This window comes from Homo sapiens, chromosome 8, assembly GCF_000001405.40.
Source record: "Homo sapiens chromosome 8, GRCh38.p14 Primary Assembly".
Classification (NCBI taxonomy): domain Eukaryota; kingdom Metazoa; phylum Chordata; class Mammalia; order Primates; family Hominidae; genus Homo; species Homo sapiens.
The window spans coordinates 60,231,897-60,258,596 of record NC_000008.11 but is presented as its reverse complement, the minus strand read 5'-3'; the positions used below and the strand labels follow the sequence as shown (position 1 = coordinate 60,258,596).

Here is a 26,700-nt window from a genome sequence, read left to right as displayed (position 1 = left end):
TAATAGAAATAAAGTGCACAATAAATGTAATGCACTTGAATCATCCTGAAACCATCCCCTGCCCCCTGTCTGTGGAAAAATTGTCTTCCATGAAACTGGTCCCTGATGCCAAAAAGGTTGGGCACTGCTGCTTTAGAAGATACAGTAGTACCCCCTTAACTGTGGAGGATACATTTCTAGACTCCCAGTAGGTGCTTAAAACTGTAGCTAGTAACAAACCTATATATATTAATAGTTCGTTTTTTCCTATACAAATGTATCTGTGATAAAGTTTAATTTATGTATTAGGCACAGTAAGAGATTAACGAGAACCAATACTAAAACAGAACAATTATAACAATATGCCAACATCACTACTTCTACACTTTAGGACTGTTATTTAGTAAAATAAGGGTTACTTAAACATGAGCACTGCCGTGGTACCATGACAGTGAATCTGATCTCTGAGAAGACTCTTAAGTGGCTGATGGGCAGGGAGCGTGTACAGTGTGGAGACGCTGGAGAGAGGAAGGATTCATGCTCTGGGCGAGATGTAGCAGCATGGCGTGCGATTTCATCACACTACTCAGAATTTAAAACATATGAACTGTTTATTTCTGCAATTTTCCATTTAATATTTTTGGACCAGAGTTAACTGAAACCACGGAAAGCAAAACTGTGTTACTGTAACATTGAAAAGACCTCACTCACCTAACCTGCCTGTGCAGTATGCAGATTCAGGTCATCAGAAGCTAATTAGAGGAAGATTTTGAAGACATTTCTTAGAATGCAAATACATTGTTTGAGATGTGAATGACTGTCAACCACACAAAATATTTATCAACTACTATGTGGAAGACATTGTGCTAGATATAACCAGTCACGGGTCACTGTAGGCTAGACTAACTTAAGTAACCCAACAAAATGAGAATCAGACACAGGGTAGGAAAATTTTCTTGATGGGGAAGAGTTAAGAAAGGTGTAGGTTCTGAAGAGACGCTAGAGAACCTGGGACCCCTGTGACATCCTCCCTGAGGACTCTGGCAGTGTGGGAGGAAGTCTGAATGATGTAGTTGGTGAATTTAGGGCCCAAAGTTGAAAAAAACCTAGATTTACATCTAACCTCTGCAATCTCAGGCAAGCTAGTAAACCTCTTCCAACCTGCCTATAAAACTTATCTATGAAAAAGGGCTAGACATTAGCTCAGAGGTCAGCGAAGAGTAAACCCTGCTGTGTTTCCTGTTTTTAGGAGGAGATGGGGAACATCAAAGGTGGGATTGGGATTGTGAGGATAAAAATCTTGTCAAAACATCCTGAGGGGGATGCAAAAAGCTTTTTGGATTGGGCGCCAGTGGCTCACGCTTTTAATCCCAGCACTTTGGGAGGCTGAGGCAGGCAGATCACCTGAGGTTAGGAGTTCGAGAGCAGCCTGGCCAAAATGGCAAAATCCTGTTTCTACTGAAGATACAAAAATCAGCTGGGCATGGTGGCAGGCCCCTGTAGTCCCAGCTACCGGAGACTAAGGCACGATATCGCTTGAACCTAGGAAGTGGAGGTTGCAGTGAGCAGAGATTGCACCACTGCACTCCAGCCTGGGTGACAGAGCAAGACTCTGTGTCTCAAAAAAAAAATTAAAAATAAACAAATAAAACAAAAAACGTTTTGTTACTATAAATAAGAAATGCAGAGAGTATGAATGGAGAAAATAATGTAAAGTCTTCTTTTTTCTTTAAAACTTCTTCCCTGTTTAGTCGAATATATTGTATTTTTATAAGTCTAATCAATATGACATTTCCAGGTCATTTTTCCTGACACACCTTTTTATTATGATGATTATGCATGCATATACAGTAAAATTTGTTTTATCACTGTATTTTGCAAGGAAAATAAATATTGCCTTGAGAAAGATAATTGGGCAATACTATGATAAAACTTCTAATTGAGTCAAATGATGATAGGAGATTTTAACTCTGTAAGTTTTTAACCTGTGTAAAAACCATATGTTTTGCTTTTTTTTGTTTTTTTCTGGTATTTAAGATTGACAGCTTAAAATGGCACAGGGATGTTAGTAAGATATTTGCGCCCTTGCTACTGCTTTGCTGTGCTTGAATACATTTTCTCTTTTAGCTTTGTAGGGTTCTACACACCAAAAATTCGTGACAGAAGCCTAGAACAACATACCGTGAGTCCTCTGAGATGCTGGACCTTTTTCTGACATGGTTCCCTAGGCAACAGCCTACTCTGGCAATGTAAATTCTTAGTCAGGGAGAGTGGCATTTTGCTTGCAGTTCACAATGACATTTGTTTTCTGACTGTTTAACCTCAATTCCTTCATTAGTACATAAGGATATTAAAATTCTACCTACCCTTATACAACTCAGGAAGAGACTATAAAAATTAACCGTTTAGGCCGAGTGTGGCGGCTCATGCCTGTAATCCTAGCATTTTGGGAGGCTGAGGTGGGCGGATCACCTGAGGTCAGGAGTTCAAAACCAGCCTGACCAACATGGTGAAACACCATCTCTACTAAAAGATACAAAAAATTAGCCGGGCATATAGGCACGTGCCTTAATCCCAGCTACTACGGAAGCTGAGACAGGAGAATCGCTTGAACCCGGGAGGCGGAGGTTGTAGTGGCCTGAGATCGCATCATTGCACTCCAGCCTGGGCAACAATAACGAAACTCTGTTTCAAAAAAAAAAAAAAAAATTAATAGCGTAATGTTGGAAGCACCTTGCACTGAGTTTCTCATGTAATGGTGGAAAATGTTGTTAAACAAAAGCTGATATTCACTTGAAGTGCTTTCTAAAAACATTTTAAGAGCAGTATTAGGTATATTGGATGTAAATGTTGTACCATAGGGCAGTATAGTTTTGTTCTTTAAGAAACCTGAAATGAATAGAAGAACCTGAGTTTAAGTTGTTGAAATATAAGCATTAAGTACAGAAGGAAGACATTTATTCTAAGACCTGACAAATGAAAGGTAGACCCTTTTTCATCAATTAATGTCTTCACTTGGGAACCCAAAGGCAAGTAAATTCTCTAAACTCAGCTTAATGAATCACTTAAACCTCTGGATGAGAGTTTATTCAGTGGAACCAGTTTATTTGGCTCCAGAGTTAATGCATTTTCCAGGAATATTCCTTGGGAACTATAAATTGGTGAGTTCTCAGAGGAGATCCAATAAAGAGATCCCTTCTCCCTAGCCTGAGTTCTGAACAAATTAGGAAAGAAGGTACTCTTAGAGTCATCAGATGGAGAACAAAACATCACCTCTATTGTGGCCAGAACGATACTGGAGACATAGCTTAATTCGAGAGAAGAGTGTCTGTCCAGAATTAGGCGGGGGCGGGAAAGGTAGGGCGGTGGGGGGCTGGGGGTGTTCCAGGTAGGATTTATGAGTCTGCTCCCTAAGAGTAGCTCAGATTTCACAACAGTTGAAACAGAATACAGGAGGAGGAGTTGGTTGAAGGAGCAGAGAGGAAAGCCAGCTTTGTTCAGGGAAAACCCCTCCTTACAGAAACCAGGAATAGGGAAGCAGCGGTCCCATTAGTAAGATTGATGACTCTCTCAAATTCCCCACTTACCCTTTAAAGCTCACTGGCACTGGACGCTAGCAAGAGGACAAAGCTCTGGGAATCAGTAAAGGAAACGTTGTTTCCTTTCACTACAGGTTTGTTCATTTTAGCCGTCTGGGATTTTGTACATCCCTTTTTGTTTGCTCCATTGTTATCTAAGAGTAACATAGTTTTCTACTTTCTAAAATAATTTAGCAGTAGGGTTTGGTAAACAGGGATTTTGAATCATCCAGGGCTTGCTTATTTGTTTTTTCTTTTCTAATTTACTTGGGTGGGTTTTTGTGCAATTTACCATCTTGGCCTGAGCTGATCACCATTTGAACCATGGATATAACTAAGGGTGGTTTATGGATGATTCACTTTTCAAAGACTGTGACCCTGGTCCAGGGCTTAACTCACTAATCCTCTTTCAAATTTGTGTTGTACAGCACTGGAAATATTTTGCAGTGATTTTTAAAAACAAATATCACTTATCCAACTTGTTGCGGAGAACAAATATTACAGATTTTTATCAGTGGGCATTGTTCCTAATTAACTTACCAGCGCTGACGTGGTTTGTTTAACTGTGTTCCCAATCTTGCTGTTTTCTATTCTAACTGATCTAGAGACTGACTATATTAAAGGGGTCTACATACAGGCAGTGGTGTGGGTCATAGTGGAATCAAGGCTGTACCGTTGGCCATGGTCTGTCACCTTCTCCTCAGCTGAGCTGCAATGGGATGTTCTGTGGTTGCTCTTTCTCTTCCACAGGCTGTTTACTGAGTTTTGAGTCTGTTAGGGAGGGAGATGGTAGAGTGGCATATACCATTCAGCAAACAAGTTTTAAGTGTCTATGTTTAAAGCCAAACCCTGTGATAAATATAGAATGTAAAAAAACAACATTTGTGTTTAATGATTCTACAGTCTGGTTTAAAGAGGTGGAAGTAAGACAGAAACATGTGAAAAGATAACGATTAAAGGGTTAAGTGACAATGTAAATCAGTTCAAAACACACTCAGGAAGCCACTGCTGTGTGTTTGCCACTGTGGCTGGTGCTGAGGGTATGACCGTGAGAGATAATCTAGGCCACAGTTCACATTCCCATGGTGTGGCAGGCCTATTCAAAAGCTACTGTGGCTACTATATATGAAAAAAGCCCTAGGGAATGGGATATAAAGAACACAGATCAGAGAGTAACTGATTTTTACTGGGCTCAGAGAATACTCTAGAAGGGAATGGCTGTTGGAGCTGGGCCTTGATGACTGAGTAGGAGTTCGCTGGGTAAACAAGGCTGGGGAGACCATTTCAGGATGGGAAAGTAGCATGAGGCAGGGCAGAAATGCTGGTCTCCTCATGCTGTGTGGGAAGGGGCACGAGAGGTAACCCCAGAGGGTCCTGGAGTCAAGTTGAGGAGGGCCTAACTCCTTCCTGAGAATGAGATGCTACCTTGATGAGGCAACCGAGAACTACTAGCACTTTTAAGCAGGTAGATGATGTCAGCGAGTGGACTAGGGTGGTGGAATGTGAATGGGAAAAAAAGATGTGGATGGCAAAAGAAGAGGTGGTGTGAGAGATGCAGTTGAGGATAAATGGAGTCGGCTTGAGGAGTGTTCAGAAAAAGCCAAAAGGATGCTGAGAAATGAAACTTGAGAAATGGAATATTATTGGAATGAAATTATTGGAATAATCGTGGTACACTTAATAGAAAAAAAAGGGAGTTGGAAAGTGAGGTACCATTATGAAGGAAGCTGATGAATTTTAACTATTTTAACAATAGTGTCACTTTCACTACTATCCATATTGTTTTTATTTTTATTTATTTTTTTGAGATAGGGTCTTACTCTGTCACTCAGACTGGAGTGCAGTGAAGTGATCTTGGCTCACTGCAGCCTCCACCTGTTGGGCTCAAGCCATCCTCCCACCTCAGTCTCCTGAGTAGCTGGGACTATAAGTGCGTGCCACTATGCATGGCTAATTTTTTTTTTTATTTTGGTGTAGAGACGGGGTTTTTCCATGTTGCCCAGGCTGGTCTTGAACTCCTGACCTCAAGTGGTCTGCCTGCCTCAGCCTCCCGAAGTGCTGGGATTACAGGTGTGAACCACCACCCTGAGCCATGTTGCTTTTAATTCCATTCAGTTTCAAATTAGTTAAAGAACAATATAGGTTGAGTAGCCCTATCTGGAATGCTTGGGACCAGAAGTATTTTGGATTTTGAATTTTTTTCACAGTTTGGAATATTTGTAATATATTCATATATTCACTAGTTCAGCATCCCAAATGTGAAAATCTGAACTCTAGAAGCTCCCAAATCTGAAACTTTTTAGTGCCAACATGATACTCAAAAGAAATGCTCACTGGAATATTTTGGAGTAGAGATTTTTGGATTTGGGATGCTCAACCTGTAGTAGTTGGGGTTGCGGTTCCTTGAAAAGTTATAAATATATCCTTAGCTCTAGGTAGGGTGAGGAGATTAAAATGTTTGAAGCTATACTATGCTTTGTATAATTTGAGTCCTACTCAGAACAGTGCTGATCTCCCTCCCCACAACAGAAGAGTGAATTTAACTAAGGATTAGTAGATTTTAGCATTTACTTATTGCTAATTGGAATTGCTTTGTATTCTCAAGGGAAAGGATTCAGCTTTGGAATTTCTATCCCCATTTAAAGTCCGATGGTCTTAACGTATTGATATTCACAGGGTACTATATGCCTCTGCCTGAGTTTCCGAGGCAACACCAGCAGAACCTCCCCTTTTGGGGGTGTCTTTTTGAGGGACTTTTTCTTGATATCTACACTCCTTGGAATCACCACAGCTTGCTGTTGTCAATTGATGGTCCTGAAATCTCTCCCTTTCTGTCACACCCTTCTTATTGTTCATGCTGTTTTTCAGTGTAGATGTACATATCCCATCAGTGCACCTGGGGGCTCTTATAACTTTCTATATCTTTATAAATTTTTTAAAATAGAATATAAAGATAAGGAATATTGAGTATGAAACCCACAAATGAAGATGCATCAAATTACATGGATATTTTACATTTACCCATATCTAAATTTTAATAGAGACTTAACTTATTGATGTGAAAGCCAGTATTGTGTAAGCACTACATAATTCTATTTTAGATTATTAGGATTTGTCCTACTGGCATTACTGATATGAAGGGAGCTAAAAAGCCTTGGGACAACTAGACTTTTGTTTCTTGAGCACATTTAAATTTGAGCCTTCTTTGTAGGAAAAATTATACTTGATTGCCCTACTCTAATTTCAGAAGCATTTTGAATGCATTATTGAATAAATTTTGAGTTTTATGGCAGGCAGCAGGGAGTTGGGCAAAGATTTGAAAGAATGGCAGATGACTTTGGCCTTCTCTTCTAACCTTCTTATTTGGGGTATGGACAAAGATAGGAGGTATGAAATTGGGCTGACCAAATACGATGTTATTTTTCAGAATAATATTCAGTGAGCATGTACATAGTGTTATGCATGAACTGCGATTTTGAGCATGAGGCTCAGGAGACCCGTATGTTGTTAAATGACATGGCAGTGTCGGGAGGGAAAGGGAATTGGGAGAAAGTTTTCAAGGTCAAATATGGTCACGCTGAATGCGTGAGTGGTTGAGGTTTTTATGTAATTAAACTCAAAGCTAAATTCTAGGAATTTTATATTTGAAAGTTTGGCTTGACTTTTAATAGAATTTTAGTTCCTGGCATATAGTGGGCTATACATAAGATGGGCAAAAGAGTAGATGAGAAGGTTCTAGGCATAGTGACAGGTGTTGAGGATGTAAAGAGGACAGAGACGTCCTTCTCCCACCTAGGGGACTTTGCCTTTGCTATGTCCTGTGTCTAGAGGATTTCCTCCTCCCACCTTGCCCCCAGATAGCCACATGGCTTACTTCTTTAGCATCTTTGAATCTGTGTTCAAATGCCAGATAATCTGTGAGGCCAACCTAAACTTTCCTTAATCTACTTGGAACCTGTGTCCACCTTCTCTAATTTGTTTTTCTCCATAGCATTTTGTAGTAATTTAATGGCATATAAATATATATATAGCTATTATTACATGTATACCATATATGTATAAAATTAAATATAACTGTTTTATAATAGTCTATTTTGGCTGGATTTGGAGGATCTAGAAATTAGTTAAGATAAATTTAGAATGGTAGGTTGGGGACAAAGAATGGAAGCTCTTGAATGGAGTTGGTCAGATGTGTGATGTATATATGTTATTTGACCAAGAGCAGTGGAGCATCACTGTTCAACATTACACAGTTATGAAATTTATTTTATTCACTAAATATTTATTGAATGTCTTCTGTGTATGCTCTAGGCAGTTTTAGGTATTAGGATAACACATTAGTGAAAAGATATGCGGAAATCACTTCCCTTACAAACTTTTCCTTCTAATGAAGTGAAATGTAACCAATTACTTTGGTCATAAGAAGTGATGCCCTTTAGGAAATCATGGCTAAAAATCAGATCTGACATTCAGATGACGTGAAATGGGATGATGGCCTTGACAAAAGGAAAAAGAACGGGTGTTAGAACCAGTGTGGGGAAAGAAGAATGTGGAGAGCTTACCGAGCTTTGATTGTTTGGAGATCAGGGAAAAGAGGAGCTTTTGGTTCCTCTAAGATTTGAGTCTTGGTAACTGAAAGGATGGCAGAGCTCCTAAGGATTGTCAGAAACGGGGACTATTTTGTTGGAAAACTGTGGTATGTAATTTGATATGTTTTGAATTTGACAGTTGCCATTTATTCTGTGGAAATGCCCAGGAAAGGGCTGGAAAAGTGTATCTGTAACTCAGAAGAGAGGTCAGAGAATGAGATTTATTGCAGCAGCTGATATTTACTTATTTATCTATTTAAAAATAGTCTAGCTCTAAGTAAATGAGTTAATATAAGAACACACAGTATCTGTTCTTTATCCAATGTCATGGGGTAACGGTTGCTGTTTTAATTTGGTATCCTATCACCAATGCTTATTGGTATTATAGGAATATGTAATGTTTCTGAGCAAGTCTAATCATGCAGTACTTCACCAAAGGGATATTATATTTCTGATGCTAGGTAATGGCTATTATATGCTCCCACTTTGCGTATTATGATTGTCGCTAAAATAGTAGCATATGTTGTCCTTATCCACATCAGTAATCAATCCATTCTTGAAACTTATTAAGCTACTCACAATAATAAACTACTAATAATAAGATCTACTGCTTGATTATTAGGAAATATTGATGTGAAAATAAGAGATTTGGGATTAGGTTTAGACTCTTAAAATTGCTTTAGCTGATAATACATTTTATGATCATTCATAGTTGGTTTATATTCTTCATGTCTTTATTTTTGGGGATACTGTAAAATGATGATACAGAAAATACCTTTTAGTTTTTTTGTGTGAAAAATTTCTAGATCAGAGCAAAAAGCTCTAGATCAGAGCAAAAAGCTCAATTTATTTATCGTTAGACACAATTTTATTTTTAAGAAATATTACTTTTCTGTCAGAAGCCAACATTTGGATTGTAGTGAAAATACACAATGAAAATTTTATTTTATTTGTGTTTGCTATGCATACATCTAAAGGATTTGATATAAGTACCCAGTGGAGTGTTTTTGCTCAGTATCGTATTTCTCCATCGTATGAGTGCATTGGTTTTAGGTAAACAATGGAAGACACCACTAAGAAATAGTAGGAAATATTTCCTCTCACATTATAGGAACTCCTGAAGGGTGGTGCCACTGTCGGTTTATGTGGCCACTCAGCCATATTTCCACAGGCCAATTTCTTTCTGTTTTTCTGCTAAGCTATTTCAGCATTTTAGCTTTTCCTCTTTGCTTTGTTTACTCATGATTGCCAGATGGCTACGTTACCTCTAAGCATCAGATCCTCACAAATTAATGGTTAAATGTAAGGGAGGGATTTTACTCTCTTGCATTAAAAAAAAGCTTTATTGAGATATAATTTACTGTAACATTGACTCATTTAAAGTATGCTAGTCAATGGACCAAATCTTGAATAAACTCCCATTCACAATTGCTACAAAGGGAATAAAATAGCTGGGAATATAGCTAACAAGGGAAGTGAAGGGCCTCTTCAAGGAGAACTACAAACCACTGCTCAAGAAATAAGAGAGGATACAAACAAATGGAAAAACATTCCATGCTCATGAATAGGAAGAATCAATATCGTGAAAATGGCCATACTGCCCGAAGTAATTTATATAGCATTATATATATAATGCTATTCCCATTAAACTACCATTGACATTCTTCACAGAATTAGAAAAACTACTTTGAATTTCATATGGAACCAAAAAAGAGCCTGTATAGCCAAGACAATTCTAAGCAAAAAGAAAAAAGCTGGTGACATCATGCTACCTGACTTCAAACTATACTGCAAGACTACAGTAATCAAAACAGCATGGTACTGGTACCAAAACAGGTGTATAGACTGATGGAGTGGAACAGAGATCTCAGAAATAACACCACACATCTACAGCCACCTGACCTTTGACAAACCTGACAAAAACAAGCAACGGGGAAAGGATTCCCTGTTTAATAAATGGTGCTGGGAAAAGTGGCTAGCCATGTGCAGAAAACTGAAACTGGACCCCTTCCTTGCACTTTATACAAAAATTAACTCAAGATAGATTAAAGACTTAAATGTAAAACTGAAAGCCATAAAATCCCTAGAAGAAAACCAAGGCAGTACCATTCAGGACATAGGCATGGGCAAAGATTTCGTGACGGAAACACCAAAAGCAATTGCAACAAAAGCAAAAATTGACAAATCGTATCTAATTAAACTAAAGAAGTTCTGTACAGCAAAAGAAAGTATCATCAGAGTGAACAGGCAGCCTACAGAATGGGAGAAAATTTGTGAAATCTGCCCATCTGACAAGGTCTAATATCCAGAATCTACAAGGAACTTAAATAAATTTACAAGGTAAAAAAAAAAAACATCAAAAACTGGGCAAAGTATATGAACAGACACTTCTCAAAAGAAGACATTTATGCGACCAACAAACATATGAAAAAAAGCTCAACAGCACTGATCATTAGAGAAACGCAAATCAAAACCATAATGAGATACCATCTCACACCAGTCAGAATGACAATTATTAAAAAGTCAAGAAACAGTAGATGTTGGCGAGGCTGTGGAGAAACAAGAATGCTTTTATGCTGTTGTTGTGAATGTAAATTAGTTCAACCATTGTGGAATACAGTGTGGCGATTCCTCAAGGATCTAGAACCAGAAATACCATTTGATACGCAATCCCATTACTGGGTATATACCTAAAGGAATATAAATCATTTGACTATAAAGACACATGCTCACATGTGTTTATTACAGTGCAATTCACAATGGCAAAGACATGGAACCAACCCAAATACCCATCAATGAAAGACTGGATAAAGAAAATGTGGTACATATATACCATGGAACACTATGCAATCATAAAAAGGAATGAGAACATGTCCTCTGCAGGGACATGGATGAAGCTGGAAACCATCATTCTCAGCAACCTAACACAGGAACAGAAAACCAAACACTGCATGTTCTCACTCATAAGTGGAAGTTGAATGATGAGAACACGTGGATACAGGGAGGGGAACAACACACACCATGGCCTGTTGGGGGTGGAGCGGAAGGGGAGGGAGAGAGTTAGGACAAATACCTAATGCATGTGGGGCTTAAAACCTAGATTATGGGTTGATAGGTGCAGCAAACCACCATGGCATATGTATACCTATGTAACAATCCGGCATATGTATACCTATGTAACAATCCTGCACATTCTGCATATGTATCCCGGAACTTAAAAGAAAAAAAGAAAATATGCCATGAAGTGGTCACTGTAAAAGCCGTTATTGGCTGGGCGTGGTGGCTCACGCCTGTAATCCCAGCACTTTGGGAGGCCGAGATGGGCGGATCATGAGGTCAGGAGATCGAGATCATCCTGGCTAACACCGTGAAACCCCGTCTCTACTAAAAATACAAAAAATTAGCTGGGTGTATTGGCGGGCGCCTGTAGTCCCAGCTACTCGGGAGGCTGAGGCAGGAGAATGGCGTGAACCTGGGAGGTGGAGCTTGCAGTGAGCCGAGATCGCGCCACTGAACTCCAGCCTGGGGGACAGAGCAAGACTCCATCTCAAAAAAAAAAAAAAAAAAAAAAAAAAGTGGTTATTATTTTTCCCACAGAAACAATGTTTTTATTACACTTTCTATCCTTTTAAAGGCTTAACAGGAAATTAGTTAAAAATATCGAATACTTTTATATAAAAGCAAAGATAGTAGCTGTACCTCTGTAATAACTTTACATAGTAAAATTTTCTTCTGAGTTACATTATGTACAGCAAAGATAGTCCTTGGCATTTTTAAGGGGCTTTTCTCAGTAAGTACATATACATATACAAATAAAGTTTTTTAATTGATATTATTTCTATCACAAATGTGTGGCCGGGCACAGTGGCTCACATCTGCAATCCCAGCATTTTGGGAGGCCAAAGCAGGTGGATCACTTGAGGCCAGGAGTTCGAGACCAGCCTGAGCAACATGGCGAAACCCATCTCACTAAAAGTACAAAAAAAAAAAATTAGCCAGACATGGTGGTGCACACCTGTAATCCCAGCTACTCAGGTGCCTGAGGCACAAGAATTGCTTGAACCCGAGATGTGGGGGTTACAGTGAGCCGAGATCATGCCACTGCATTCTGGCCTGAGCAACAGAGTAAGACTGTCTTAAAACAAAGCAAAACAAACTCAACCCCCCCCAGAAATGCATTATTCGTAATAAAAACTTTTAGAAAAAATAATTTTGTTTTTGTTATTTGAATTTACATAGGTTTTTGAGAATGCTTTAGATGGCTGGGATGATAAAGGCATTGAGCAGTACAGTGTATGTACTTGTTAGGCACTTGTGACTGTGCAGACCAGGGGAATGAGCAGTGCTGGGAAGTCGAGTCTCTAGTCAGTCCTGGAGAAAGAGGTTCACGGTTAGGTAAGATTGGGTATAAGGGAAGTCCTCACTGCCTAACTGGAGCTCCCATATCTGCTCTCAACATTTAAAAGCACTTTGGCCATTGATGATTGTTCACTTTGGATTATGTTCAAAATGTAATAATCTTGTTTTAAAAATCGCCCCCCACCCCGGCTGCACCCAGCCCAGTCAGTATGAGCTGTACTGAACTGAAGTGCATTGCCTTGTAAACACAGGTAAAATTTCCTATCTGAATTGTTGAGCTTTTTTGGTTCACACCCATTGATGCCTTTCCTGTTCCTAATTGACCTTTTTGAAAACCTCACAAGCTGTTTTGGTACAAGTTCCACCTCAATCAAAGAAAATGATACTTTACCTTGTTACAACATTGAAAGGGAACTTGGGCTCTGTATTTCAGGTCACTAGTGTGTTAAAAGTCAGTTTTCTAGAATGTCCTTTAAAATAAGTTGATTGCCTATAGCACTGTTATTTTATTAACAGGAGAGTCTTACACAAATCTCAGCGAAGCATAATTCCCTTTAATTAGCACTAGAAATAATGTGGTTTATGATGAGTTTGCTAAAGAATGGTTCTTTGTGCAACTCCCTTGAGCAACAAGTGAGTTGGATTAGTTTGTTATGATTTTAAAGTAAATTACAAAACTTATATAAATAAGGAAGTACTTTATGGGAAAAGCATAGGTGTAGATTTTCACAGGGCTATTTGTCTTTCAGATTAGGGCAGTTTCATTTAGTTGTAGAGCAAGAAAAATTCCTCCACTTAAGATAATTTTTTTTTTTGGTAGAATTCTGGTTACATGTGCCTTTATGTATATATTTGTTTTTTTAGCCCATCAAAATTTACTTTTCTCACAATATTTTGAAGATATATGGTGTTTATATTGTTGAAAAGTTTTGTGTTCTTTGCATTGTCTCATGGCCGTGGAGTTAATACAAGATGCACTGTACCATAATCCCCAGGGAATGGTGGGAATGATTATGAAGACTATGTTTGCCAGACACATGCCATATCTTATTTCATCATTAAAATATTCCTTAAAGGTAGATGTTATGTCTGTTTTTTAGCTGAATAATCAGGTCATGAGACATTAGTTGCCCAAGGTCACTTAGGTAATGGCTGAGACTTGGACCAACTACCGTTCTCATCCCTATACACTGTACCCCTTCCCCTATTTCTAATAAACAGGTTCTGATTTTTGCTTTAGATAATTGCAATTCAAAAAGTGAAAGACCCTGAGTAAGCAGTGTTAACAGACAAGTACCTTTCCAGGTGTAGTGGGAATTAAAATAGAGTGGTTTTTAAAAACATTTTCAGATACATGCATTTTATTGTAAATTGTAATAGTTTGAATTGTAATTGGATTTAAAAAATACTCTTTCTGAAAACTGGGTTATTAGACAATCTATTAGCTATGTAAAGTTGGAGTGTGAAAATTGACAGTGGTATTTCGCGGGCAAATGAAAGAGAAATGAAATAGTGCTGAATTTTAAACCCAATTAAAATTGCTCTATGTGCATGCTTATTACTAAAAAGAGCTTATTACTCTAATTGTTATCACCAACACACCTGAAATAGTTAATACATAATAATCCAAATTTGCCATACTTATCAAGATTGTAAAAAGATATATTCATTTAGTGAATGCATTGCGTGTGAAGGAGGTTGGACTGTACCTCGTGGGCAGATAGGAGCACCTGATGAGCAGGCTTGCAGTATATAATTGCAGGGTAGAGAATGAATCAAAGCCAGCTTTGGAGGCATGGAGACAGTTAAGAGACGGGCATAAGTCTATCTATAGATTATGGATCTTGAAACTAAGGCACTGGTGATGGGAATCAGCCAAGTGGATGCATTTGGGAGATTTTTGAGAGGTGGAAAGGGCAGGACATAGCTCTTCGTTGTTTGTAAGGGAAGAGGATGATGGAAGAGATTTCTGGCTTGGGTTCCATCACCAGAGGTGGGAACTGAAGACAAAGACACAGTCCGAGGGGCGGTGGAGGGAACTCAGCTGTTAAATGCTAACTTTAAAATATCCCACTGGAGATATTTTACTGGGCAGTTTAATAAAGGGATATGGTCTCGGGACAGAAATTTTGATTTAAAATGCTGGTTTTGGAGTCATGAGCATCCAGGTGAGGATTGAAGACATGTGAGTAGATAAGAACAGCCATCAAGAACATGCTCAGAGAGAAGAGGTGTTAGGGCGGAACCCTGTGAGGGGAAGAGAACCAGTAATGGAGCCTGCGATGGAACTGCTGTTGAAGAAGAAGGAGACCAGGAGAGTGTGGCACCACGAAACCCAGGGGAAGGGGCAGTGTGAGAAAGACAGGCAAGGCTACCGGCTGCTGCAGAGCAGGTGATCTGGTCTCCCAGGCGAAAACGTGATTTAGTGGGGAACATGGTGAGAAGTTTCAGACGAGATCGGGCGCGTTCAGGGTGGTATGGCCGTAGACGGTGAGCAGTTTCACTAAACTGATGGGACAAGAGACAGATTTCAGTAGATAGCAGAGGAAATGGGCAAGGAGGAGGTGGTGATGGGAGTGGAGATAATTTTTTAAACAGTTACCTGTGAAGAGAAAGTAGTAGGAGGGTATGTGAGGTCCAGGAATTTTTTTTTTTTTTTTTAAAGAGGAGAAACATCTATGCATATTAAATGGTGTTGAGAAGGAGCTAAGGGGAGAGAGGTTAAAGGCTCAGAAAAGAGCTGGTGGATGAAAGACCCTTGAGTGCTGTGGCAGAAAGGAGCAGATGTTTACTCCTGGAAAAGAGGAGGAGGGAGGAAGGACTGGCAGGAGGTCCTGGCAGGAAGCAGAGACAGTTCCTTCTGATGGTTTTATTTTCTCTGGGAGGCAGGTGACCTTGGTGTTAGAATATTAGTGATGTGTATGTGGGGATGCTGACTGGTGGGCCTTTGGGCTGGATTTAAGGACGGCTCCAGCTGGCACTGTATTTCGTAAATTGTAGAGTTTAAACACTTGGAGGCATGGCCCCAATTCTTCAGTTTTTCACAGCTCTGCTGTCCTCACTTCTGGAGACATTTGACATTGGGGCTCTATGGCGGTGATCTGGCTTTCTATAATGGAATGCATTATTAGTTATCTTTAAACTGTAAGAAAGTAAGTAGATGAGTTCAGCGGCATAATGAGAAGATAGCCCTACTGAAGGTAAGTGACCATAACTGTGTTTTCTAAAGTGGGGCGCTAGACCTTTCAGTGCTGCCCACCTTTCTGTCGCCAGAGAACCTCCCACTTCTCTGACTCGGATTCTGCTCTAGCCAGCACTTGCTCTGTATTTTCTAAAACCTTTCCAGAGACTATTCCTTGCCCTTGTAAGGGCATCACACGATAGACAGTCTGGTCTCCCTTTTACAAAGGAGACTCAGCTCAGGTAGCTTTCCCAGGAGCTGGAGTGAGAGTGCTCACTAACACCAGGTGTGTGGCTGGCATGCTAGCAGTGTCTTGGGTCACACATTCTCCCTTCCTTTCCCTAGTTTTTCTTGTCTTTGCGGATAACCTTGCCATTCCTCCGTGCTTTGTGTGAATACTCACACTGTGCAGTGTACCCCGCTCTGTCTTTTCCAACCCTCCCTCTTGGGATCAGAGGTGGCATAGGTGGTAGAGCCATACTCCCTGTGTCCACAGTCTGTCTCTGTCACTTGTTTGCTGTATAATCCTGGGCAGGTTACTTCACTTTCTGTACCTCCATTTCCTTCTTGTTAAATTGAGGTGTTTGATGGCGGTCATAGAATCTATTATTATAAAGATGCTAATGAGGATGGAATGAAGTAATATTTGTAAAGAACAGTTCTTGGCAGAAAATGTCATATCAGTGCCTATTAAATCAATAAAAATACCCACAGCATCCTTTAACATTTCGATTGTGCACTAATCCTTTTCACTCATCCTTTTCTTCTATTGGGCTATAAATTTCTTATTTTTGTTTATTTACATCCTGGATTCTTTTATAACAAGATTTGAGTCTTTGCATTTCCAGTGCCAGAAGCAGTGAACACTAAAACCCTAGATACTGTCGGTGCTCAATAAATGTTGAGATGAGTGCTGCCATTATTTCAGAACTCTTTCATCATCGTGGCTCTCATTCAGGGATGAGCAGGGAGAGGATTGCAGCCATTAGTCACTGATTCACTGTATAGAATGAACAGATCCAATCTATAAATGACTTACATTCTATAACAAGACCCGTTGACAATCTCTTTGCTTTCTTTATTTTACAAAATAATAAATGAAGTAGGGAAGTTATAGCAATTTAATTGCAGCTATAGCCTACAATTCAGGTTTTTTTTTTTTAGAAAATAAAATGTAGGATATTTCCTGGAAATCAAGAAACCAGTGTTGAAGAATGAGTTTTAATTGCTTCTGATTTTACATTAAATATAAAACATAAAAATGATGTAGTTTTTCTTTTCTTTGATCTATGACTGCACCAAGCTTTTCCCAATCTTTTATAGTGAATTTCATAAAGGAAGCTTCATTTTTGGGAGAAGAGTCCAATGGTGTTATAAAGCCCTGTTCCTAAGAAGGCAGGAAATCAGTCAGCATTTAAAGAGGCAGCCATTCTGCTTTGAAATAAGATCTTCTTTTTATAAATTACATAGCACTAGTGCCTTTTACTAAGAACACTATAAATACCTTTTGATATTAATGTCTTCATGGGGGAAGTTGCTCTGAAGCCCTCTGTCACATTCCCCTATTTCTCTTCTACCTATCTGTATACAAGACTTGGTTAGGTTTTGGCAGACATAACAAGTAGGTGATAGCTAGAGATAGAATTTCGAATAATTTATGTTCCATTCCATGCTTTACAGTATTTTGTCACTGTTATATCTGTCTACACCTTGAACGTCCTTCTCTGAATAATAGCAGCATAATATATTGACAGTGATGACTTAAAGCGTAGCAGCATCTGAGAATAATACACACTAAATCTTGATTTATCTGCTGATGAATGGGCTGCTTCATATAATTATGAGTGGATCTGGAAAGAGATGGTGCTTTCTCTGTTAACTATTTCTCAGTTATTTAATGACCCATTTTGTGACTTAAATGTTCTACTTTCTGTTTCCTTTTCCCCCTTTTTTTCCTTCTTTTTCCAGTGCTTACTATCTTCTTTCTTTCAATTTCCAGTATCATAAGAACAGCTGAGATATAATCTTTTTTTTTCTTTTTCAAAATTTTATAGCCCCCTCTGAGTGCTCTGAGAAGGGCTGTTTTGAGTGTGGCAGAGCCTGGGTGGGTGAGATACTTGGCTTCTGGAACTCAGAATCTATTGGGACCTGCTACAGTTTTCTATAGTTGGATTTTTTGGGGGCTGAGGAAGGCAATTAAGCAAAATCAGGACACAGAAATAAAGATCTGTTCTTGATGATTTTTTCCCTCTGTGAAGCTATACTCTATAGTGTCCTGGCTCAGAGGAAAGTTCTTAATGACTATACATTGGGTAGAAAGTGGTTTACAGGTCCAGTTACATCTGAGTTCATGGGCTGCATTGAATATTTATTATTCATCAAAACTTAACAGCAGCCTGTTATTTCTCTCCAGTTTTACTTTTAACCATTAAGAAAATAGATAAGAATATTAAAAAGTCAAAGGTGAGCTTTGCTCACTCTCAACCAGTGATTTCAGCTGACTTCTAATGTCTGTTTTCTGATAATCCTGCCTACCTTATAGGCTGATTGGCCTTGCTCCACTTGTTTTATCCTGATGTCTCTGTGTTCTCCCTGTGTGCCTTTCACTGTCTTGAAACTGCCATCTCAATAATCTAAAAAACAATAGGTCCAAAGTCTCTTTCTGTCCTCATTTTTCCTTGTTTCTTTGCAGCTGTCATAGCTTTGCTGCTAGTATCTCCTTGACAGTATTGATGCCCACACTGTCTTCTAGAAAGTCTGTTCTCTTTTAATGGCACTTTGGAATTTTCTGAGTTCCCTCTTGCATATTTGATAGTCCCTCTTTCGTTATCTCACCATTTTCCAAAGCTCAGTCTTTGGTCCCCCGTCAGTTTCTCTCAAGACTTGATCCATGTATTAGTCTGTTTTCATGCTGCTGATAAAGACATAGCCAACACTGGGTAATTTATAAAGAAAAAGAGGTTTACTGGACTCACAGTTCCACGTGGCTGAGGAGGCCTCACAATCATAGTGGAAGGTGAAAGGCACGTCTTACATGGCGGCAGGCAAGAGACAGAGTGAGAGCCAAGTGAAAGAAGAAACCCCTTTTGAAATCATCAGATCTCGTGAGATTTATTCACTACCACGAGGACAGTATGGGGGGAACTGCTCCCAAGATTTGATTATCTTCTACAGGATCCCTCCCACAACAAGTGAGAATTATGGGAGCTACAATTCAAGATGAGATTTGGGTGGGGACACAGCCAAACCGTATCAATCCATGAGTGAACCAACTCTACAAGGTCACATTTCTCTAGGGCAAGCTTGTCCAACCCATGGCCTGTGGGCCACATGCAGCCCAGGATGGCTTTGAATATGGCCCAACACAAATTTGTAAATTTTCTTAAAACATTATGAGATTTTCTTGCAATTGTTTTTTTCTCATCAGCTGTTGTTAGTGTTAGTATATTTTCTGTGTGGCCCAAGACAGTTCTTCTTCTTCCAGTGTGGCCCAGGGAAGCCAAAAGATTGAACACCCCTGCTCTAGGGGTATCTGCTCCCTGTACCTTTAGCCCTTTCTCAAGGCAGCAGCAGTTCTGCACCTCTCACTAATGGGGCACTAGTTTGATTGTTCTGATGTGGGTTTACACTCCTATCTAAAACTGAATTCAATTGTGGCTCACACCTGTAATTCCAGCTCCCCTGGAGGCTGAGGTGAGAGGATCACCTGAGCCCAGGAGTTCAAGGCTGCGGTGAGCTGTGATTTTGTCACTGCACTGCAGCCTGGATGACAGCAAGACTCCATCTGTTGCAAAAACCAAACCCTCAAAACACCCCTGAATTTATCTCCCTTTTGATAAAATGATTTTGGTAGAAATCCCAGTTATCTCCCCTCTTTCTCTTCCTTTTTCTTCCTGTCTGTTGGTTGAAGTTCTCTGTCTCTTTCTCCCTTCCCACTGTCTCCCCTCCTCCCTGCACCCTTTATTTCTGGCATCTCCAGCCTCCATCTTTCTGTCAAATGCCCATCAGTGCCTAGGAGGACAGGTAGGATTTGTCTGGGTGTCAGGGCAGATTGGGGAAAGGCATTCCAGGTGAGTGGGCATAAGCAGAATGGGGAGGCTGTTGTGAGGAGTCAGGGTCATGCTTGGTTTGAGCATGTGGGGAGAGTTAGGGTGGGGAAGGATGTGGTTTGAGAAATGTAAGTCTGATATGGATAGGAAATAAAGGAAATCAGAGATTTTCAACAGAGGAAATGTGGTGAAAGTTGTGTTAAAAAGAGATTAGTCGGGCTTCATAATGTAAATGCCAGGGCCCAGGAGAGGTCTAGATGAGCTCTGGAGATAAAGGCACGGGGGTCCCAGGTCTCAAGCCTGGCAAGCGGGGCAGGAGGGGGAGTTCTATGAAGAGTGTGTGAGTGGGAAGCTCCTTTGAAGAGGGTTGATGTCAGTTGTAGAAATGTTCATCTTGAGGTGTCAAGAAGACATCTGAAAGGAAAGGTCCCTGCATTTGCAGTTAGGAGATGTCACAGAATTTGTATGAGTGCCCAGGGCTGGGGAAAAGGAAATTTGTGAGTCATAATTGCCTTTTCAGTGTTTACTACTTTTTCCGTTCCTCATGATTCATTCTTTGGTACTTTGCTGCCGTCGTATTATTTATGTTAGTAATAAACCTCATTTGTCGTGAAGATAGCTTTCTGTTAAGCTGCCATGAAGTCTTCAAACTTATTTTTCTCAGTGACAAATGATGATAAGGCTGTGGCATGTCGCAATTTCTTAACTTTGGACAAATTTATCTATTCTGTGAGTTAAGTGCATTAAGATGAACGTTTTGAACGTTTCACAGGTGCTAATGGTAAGGCAGCATAATCAGTTGCGGGAATATGAAGTTGTGAGTCCTGTAGCAAAAGCTCGGTCCAAGATTTTCCCTGAAGCTGTAAAAGGATGCATCATGGTTGTTTTCCTGTGGTCCGATTTTTTAACAGAAGACATAATGGTCATCATGCTGCCAGAGTAATAATGGATCTTGGCTGTTTTATGTCTTTGTAACACTTGCCTCCTGTTGGTGGGCTGGGGGGAAGAGTTATAAGGAGTGAGGAAGGACTCAGCTTTAATTGTTACGGAAAACCACTTTCTTCTACCCTGAGGTGCCCAAGTGTAGGAGGAGGCCAAACCTTTTGCCTTTGGAGGGAGAATGGCTGAAGGGAGCCTGGAGGCAGATTCTTTCAGCAGGAGGGATTCTGCTGTTGTTGTTGGTAGCCATAGTAGGTCTTGGGTTCAGGCTGCAAGAGGCAGCCCCTCAGCCACCTGCTGTGCAGTGTGTTTACCAGGTAGAGCAGGTCCAGGCTCTTGAAGGCCTGTGGGGCAGGGTCCTGCCTGGAGCCATCTTTAGTCCAGTGGACCCTGGAGGAGTAAGTGACCCTATGCAGTGACCCGTCTACTTCTAAACAGATGCAGTGCTAATGCGGCCGACCCTTGCTCTCCTTAGAAATGGTAAGTGGCATTTACATACTTGGTCTAAACTATAATCCAGTTGGCTGCTTTTCTTTGTCAGAATCCATCATCCTGCTTCCCTGCCTTTGCTGGCTATATATAATGCTAATAACAGTAAAACGTGATAAGAATATAGGAAAAAGAGTACTATGGGAAGACAGAGAAAAGCGTGAATAATCCAAGCTTTTAAGATACAGTCTCCTGTGTTACAGAGAGACATGCTGAAAGAAGTTAGTGACTAGTGAAGTTCACAGAGCTAAAGAGTTGTAGGACTGAAACAAGAATCTAAGACGAGATTCCTAGCAGAGGTCTTTTATGAGAGCACATTGCCTCTCAGAATAATGGAGCTGGAGAAGTGCACAGGGTTGCCGCCTCTGTATCCTGCCCTCTCCATAGACCAGACACACCCCAGAGCATATCTGGGCGGTTAGGCTTTGAAGTGAGTCTTGTGAGTCCTCTCTGCTGATAATAGCTGTCTACTTGGACCTTAATAAGCCAGTTCATAAGATGTACTGCAGGCCACTTCATCGTTTCCTAAGCCATATCTGTAGTATCATGTGCTTTTCCATTCAGACCTGTTTGTCTCCAGATATCTTTAACCACTGCATTAGAACAAACTTTGGAGCGTGTATCCATAATATATGTATTTGTTAATAAATTATATTCATGCACTAATATGTATTTATATTATGTATTTTATGAAGCATAGAAAAAGTTGAAATAAAAAGGCATTTGATAAAAATAAATATAAGTAGAAGTTTTAATGTGTTATTTCTGATCATCAGAGGATTGTTTTGTCACTTCATCCCCCCTCCCCAAAGGGATCATGTTTTGTCTTAGAAGAATAAATCCCAAATTTTGTCACTTTAATTGTTAGGTTCATTTTTCTTTATTCCCATTGGTATTAGTCGTCATCAGATTTAAACTTCTGTTGGTTGCCATACTTTTTTTTTGTTTGTTTGCATGATCTGTATTAGTCAGGGTTCTCCAGAGAAACAGGGAGAGGGAGAAAGAGAGAGAAACAGAGGGAGAAAGAAGAGATTGGGATTTAATTTAAGGGACTGGTTCATGTAGTTGTGGGGGCTGGCAAATCTGAAATCTGCAAGGTAGGCCAAAAGCTGGAAATTCATGCAAGAGTTGATGTTGCAGCTTGAGTTTCAAGGCTGGAAACGCAGGCTGATTTTTATCCAGAGTTCTGGAGGCAGAATTCCTTCTCCCTTGGGGGACCTCAGTCTGTGCTCTTAAACCCTTTAACTGATTGTATGAGGCCTACTCATGTAGTGGAGGCATTCAGCTTTACTCAAAGTCTGTTGATTTAAATGTTAATCACATCTAGGAAGCACCTTTGCTGCAACATCTAGACTGGTGTTTGATCAAACAATTGGGCACCATAGCCTAGCCAAGCTGACACATAAAATTAACTGTCCTGCACTCCTGTCATAGTTTTTTCGCTGGGACTTTTGTGGTATCCTCCTAGCTTATATTCCAGCTTTCAGTGTCTGCTACTTCCAATCCAGCCCCTGTACTGTCAAAAAGACCTTTGAAAGAAAGAGGTTATTATGGGGGAGTTTGATTCCAGACTGCATACATAATAATAATATTCATTGCAATAATATATTGCTTTAGTGTTTTCTAGAATACAGCTATGGTAACATTTAAAGCTCTGTGCTGTCTGACCCCTCTAGCTGTCTAGCTTCACCTCTTGTCATTGCCAGACTTATGTACCCTCTAGCTACCCACTAAGGTACTGTTAGTCCTTCAAAAGCACTTATAATTTTCCTGCCTCTGTGGCTTTGCTTTGTGGAACAGAACCAGCACTAATTAATATAAGGCACAATATGATAAAATTATTGGAATAAAGAAGGGGCAGTGGCAGAACAGATGTCAATGTGAATAATTCAAGCTTTTCAGATTTGAAGAGACTTTCTTATGGTGAGCAAAAAGCAAAGGGTGAGATAGCTGGTGTCATGGGCAGAATTGTGTCCCTGCCAAATTCATGTTGAAGTGCCAATTCCTAGCACATCAGACTGTGGCTGTATTTGGACATAGGGTCATCACAGAGATAATTAGGTTAAAAGGAGGTCATTAGGCATGCCCTAATCCACTGTGCCTGGTGTCCTTATAAGAAGAGGAAATTTGGACACAGACTCCTAGAGAGGCAAGACTGTGTGAAGATAAAGGGAGAAGGTGGCCATCTATAAGCCAAGGAGTCAGGGCTAAAAAGGAACCAGCCCTGCCCACACCTTGATCTCAGACTTCCACCCTCCAGAAATGTGAGAAAGTAAATGTCTGTTGTTTAAGCCACCCAGTCAGTGCCACTTTGTGATGACAGCCCTAGCAGACTCATACAGATGGAGAGGAAAGGTGCATGGGTAGCAGAGTGAGCTAACTTGAGAGGCAGCGCAGGTGCAGAGTGCTGTGCCTGTGAGCCACGCACCTAGGTTACCACTACTAGGTTACAGCTGAAGGTTGGCCAAGTTCCAGAATGGGTTGGACATTTGCCTGGTACTTGAATTAGCCAACCTCTACTGGTGTAGAAAGGGGGTCTGTCATGATTTGTTTGGCCTGAAAATGAGAGAAAGGACCTTCAAGAGAAGAAGGTTTATCAGAAGCAGGACAGAGCTTTGTTTTTCAAAGCTTGGGTCCCTTGTTATTGTGAGGGGAGGGAGAATCTCTTCTGCCCTGGAACCGCCAAGACTCAGGTGGTTATTGAAGACCCAGAAGGTAGAGTGAAGGATGCGTGGGAGAGCTGCTGTTGCTGCTTTCATTTCGTGTTATTTTGCTGGACATGTGGGGGTCATAGCAACCTTCTGTTATCCTTGTTAGCTTGGGTTGGCTGAAGTGCCAGCATTTCTCTTAATTTTTGTCTTTTGTTAAAAAGAATATTTTTTAGAACAGTTTAACATTTATAGAAAAATTATAAAGACAGTACAGAAAATTCCCATATACCCCAAACCCAGTTTCTTCTATTAGTAACATTTTACATTAGCATGGTTACATTTGTTACAATTAATGGACCAATACTGATATGTTACTAATCCACATTTTATTTGGATTTCCTTAGTATTTACCTAATGTCCTTCTTCTGTTCTGGGATCTCACCTATGGCACCATACACCATATTACATTTAGTTCTCATGTCTTCTTAGGCTTCTTTTGGCTGTGACATTTTTCTCAGGCTTTCCTTGTTTCTGATGACCTTGACCGTTTTGAGGAGTACTTACTGGTGAAGTATTTTGTGGAGTGTCTCTCACTGAGATTTGTCTGATGTTTTTCTTGTGGCTAGATTGGGTTATGGGTCATTGAGAGAAAACACAGCAGTAAAGTGCTCATCACATATAGGGATACATACACCCTATCAACATGACTAATCACTGTTGATGTTGACCTTGATCAGATAGTGTTTGTTAGGTTTATCCACTGTAAAGTCACTATTTTTATCCCTGTTCCATACTTTACTCTTTGAAACAAAGTCACCACCCACAGTGCACACTTAAGGAGTGGGGACCCTCAGCTTTTTAAACACACAAAAAATGTGCAGCAGCTTTTGAAGGGCAGCTGTGAGTGATGATGTTGCTGAATTGTGGGGAGTAGGGAAAAAGAAAAACCCATGCTTTTGTGGTTTATTAATGTTTTGTTTAAAAAAATGCCCCAAAATATTGCTGTGAGAAGTAAGAAAAATGCCAGTTGGAATTTTGTAATTTGTGGAATAAAAATTTATTTTAACCTTGGGCCTAGACCTTCTTTGTTGGTGGTTTAATTAAGGCAATCAGTTCTTACCTCTACCACTAGGACTCCTATGCTGTTGTTGCAGCTGGAGAAGGGAAGATTAAAATTGTCTTTTATTATTGAGAGATTATAGGACATCATTTTCTTAAAAGCAGTGCCTTTCAGTTGCATTTACTGGGTAGTCACAGTCTCTGTGAGTTTTTCACAGCCTCACAGCCTGACCTGGCTGAGTGGGCCATGGGTACAGTGTTTTCCTAGTTATCTGTTCTATTATTGGTAGAGGACTTCATTAGCTCCCCCTAGTGGTCAGTTTTATAATATCAGATTCTACCTGGGTAAATTCAGCAGTGGAAAAATCCAATTTGTGGCCATCCTTATGATAATTTTCCTGAATATTTTAATATAAATGCTAAAATAAATAGTGGTTGAATTTTAGCTATGTCTTTTGGTGTTAGAACTAATTTTAAAATAAGGCGACGTTGTAAGGCGGTAAGTAATTATAACGATGAAAAGCTATAGTGATGAAGGTAATATTCTAGGCAGAAGGTTTACCTACCTACTATTATACTAGGAACCTCAGTGGACATTTGGTTTTTAATCAGGAATTGAGCTTGGCTTCTTGCAAGTGTTTTATCAGTGCTGTAGGAGCAAGTGCATATTCTAGATAAACTTGAAAGCTGCAAAGCTTTATGAGGCTAGGAGTGAGGGAGGCCTCTGAGCATTGTTTGTCATTTCTTCACAGATAAAATTTTATCGCCAGTGCAGGAAATCGCCTTCTTTTAGAGATTTACATCAGCATTTATTATTTTACCGTGGCTTTAAATATGCAGCTTTTTTTTTTCCAGGATGCTATCTCTGAATATTCTTAGAAAGTTGAAATAATTTACTGGAACTGGAAACTGGCTTTGTACATCTCCTGATGGAAGTACTGGGTGATGCAGTATTTGATTATGCAGGTATTCATCCTTTGAATGAGTTCTAGTGTTTGTGCCCAGACCTGGAGTTTTGTTTCATGGAGATTCAAAAGGATGACATCCAAGGAAAGATAACTGAATCAATGTGAAGTCTGTGAGTCCCTCCAGTTGTCTTCCTCCTCATCAGGACTAAAACTGGACTTAAGAGGCAGTGATCCACTAAGCACTGCTTCTGTTCAGAAATAAGAAGGAAGGAATTCATACAGAGAACTCGTATTAAGCCAGTAGTTTGTGTCTACTTGTGATCCTCTTGTGGTATGTGATACCATATAGAAATAGTAAAGAAATGGCTATATCTTTGCTTTTATGATTAGAAGTAGCACATTAAATGATGTGGTCTGTCTGTTGCCACTCACTCAGCTCCATCTGATCCACTGGAACTCCACTCTGTTTGGCAGCATTGATGAGGCTGTGGGGAAGCCGCACGGAATCGCCATCATTGCTCTGTTTGTTCAGGTAAACGGTCTGCTGTGATTATCGTATTGTTTAGAGATGCTAATTTCTAAATCATTTTGTAAAATTTTTTTATTCTCAATTTTATTGCTTAGAGATGAAATTACACACATAGAGAGAACACCTGATAAAAACAGAAAACTTGATCCTTATGGTTTATCGGAGTTCAGACATATTCATTGGTAGAAAATAGTTCCTTTATTTATTAGAAATTTTCTTCAGAGTAGCATTCAGGGTCTTTGGAGAAATGATTTAGAAAATGACTCCTGAAGGTAGAGTTTATTTTATGAAAAAGGATTTCAGAAAATTTCTTTAGACCCTGGTTTACAGAAAAATCTACAAAAAAAATCAATAACAATAATAGAAGTATGTAGTAGATTACTTTAGCCC

General features: G+C 39.8%; 1 protein-coding gene across 5 annotated transcripts in view; it reads left to right on the top strand.

The window, feature by feature from the left end:
• Positions 1-26,700, top strand: part of CA8 (carbonic anhydrase 8) — a 95,989-nt gene that overhangs the window by 22,804 nt on the left and 46,485 nt on the right. For 4 of the 5 annotated variants that reach the window (NR_135821.2, NM_004056.6, NM_001321837.2 and 1 more), the window contains exon 4: positions 26,218-26,313. The exons of the other annotated variant lie outside the window; for it this stretch is intronic. Coding sequence is in view for 3 of the 4 variants with exons in the window: in NM_004056.6 (NP_004047.3) it covers positions 26,218-26,313 (96 nt within the window). In the remaining variant the exon portion in view is untranslated. The remainder of the gene's footprint in view (positions 1-26,217; positions 26,314-26,700) is intronic. 5 annotated transcript variants of the gene reach the window in all.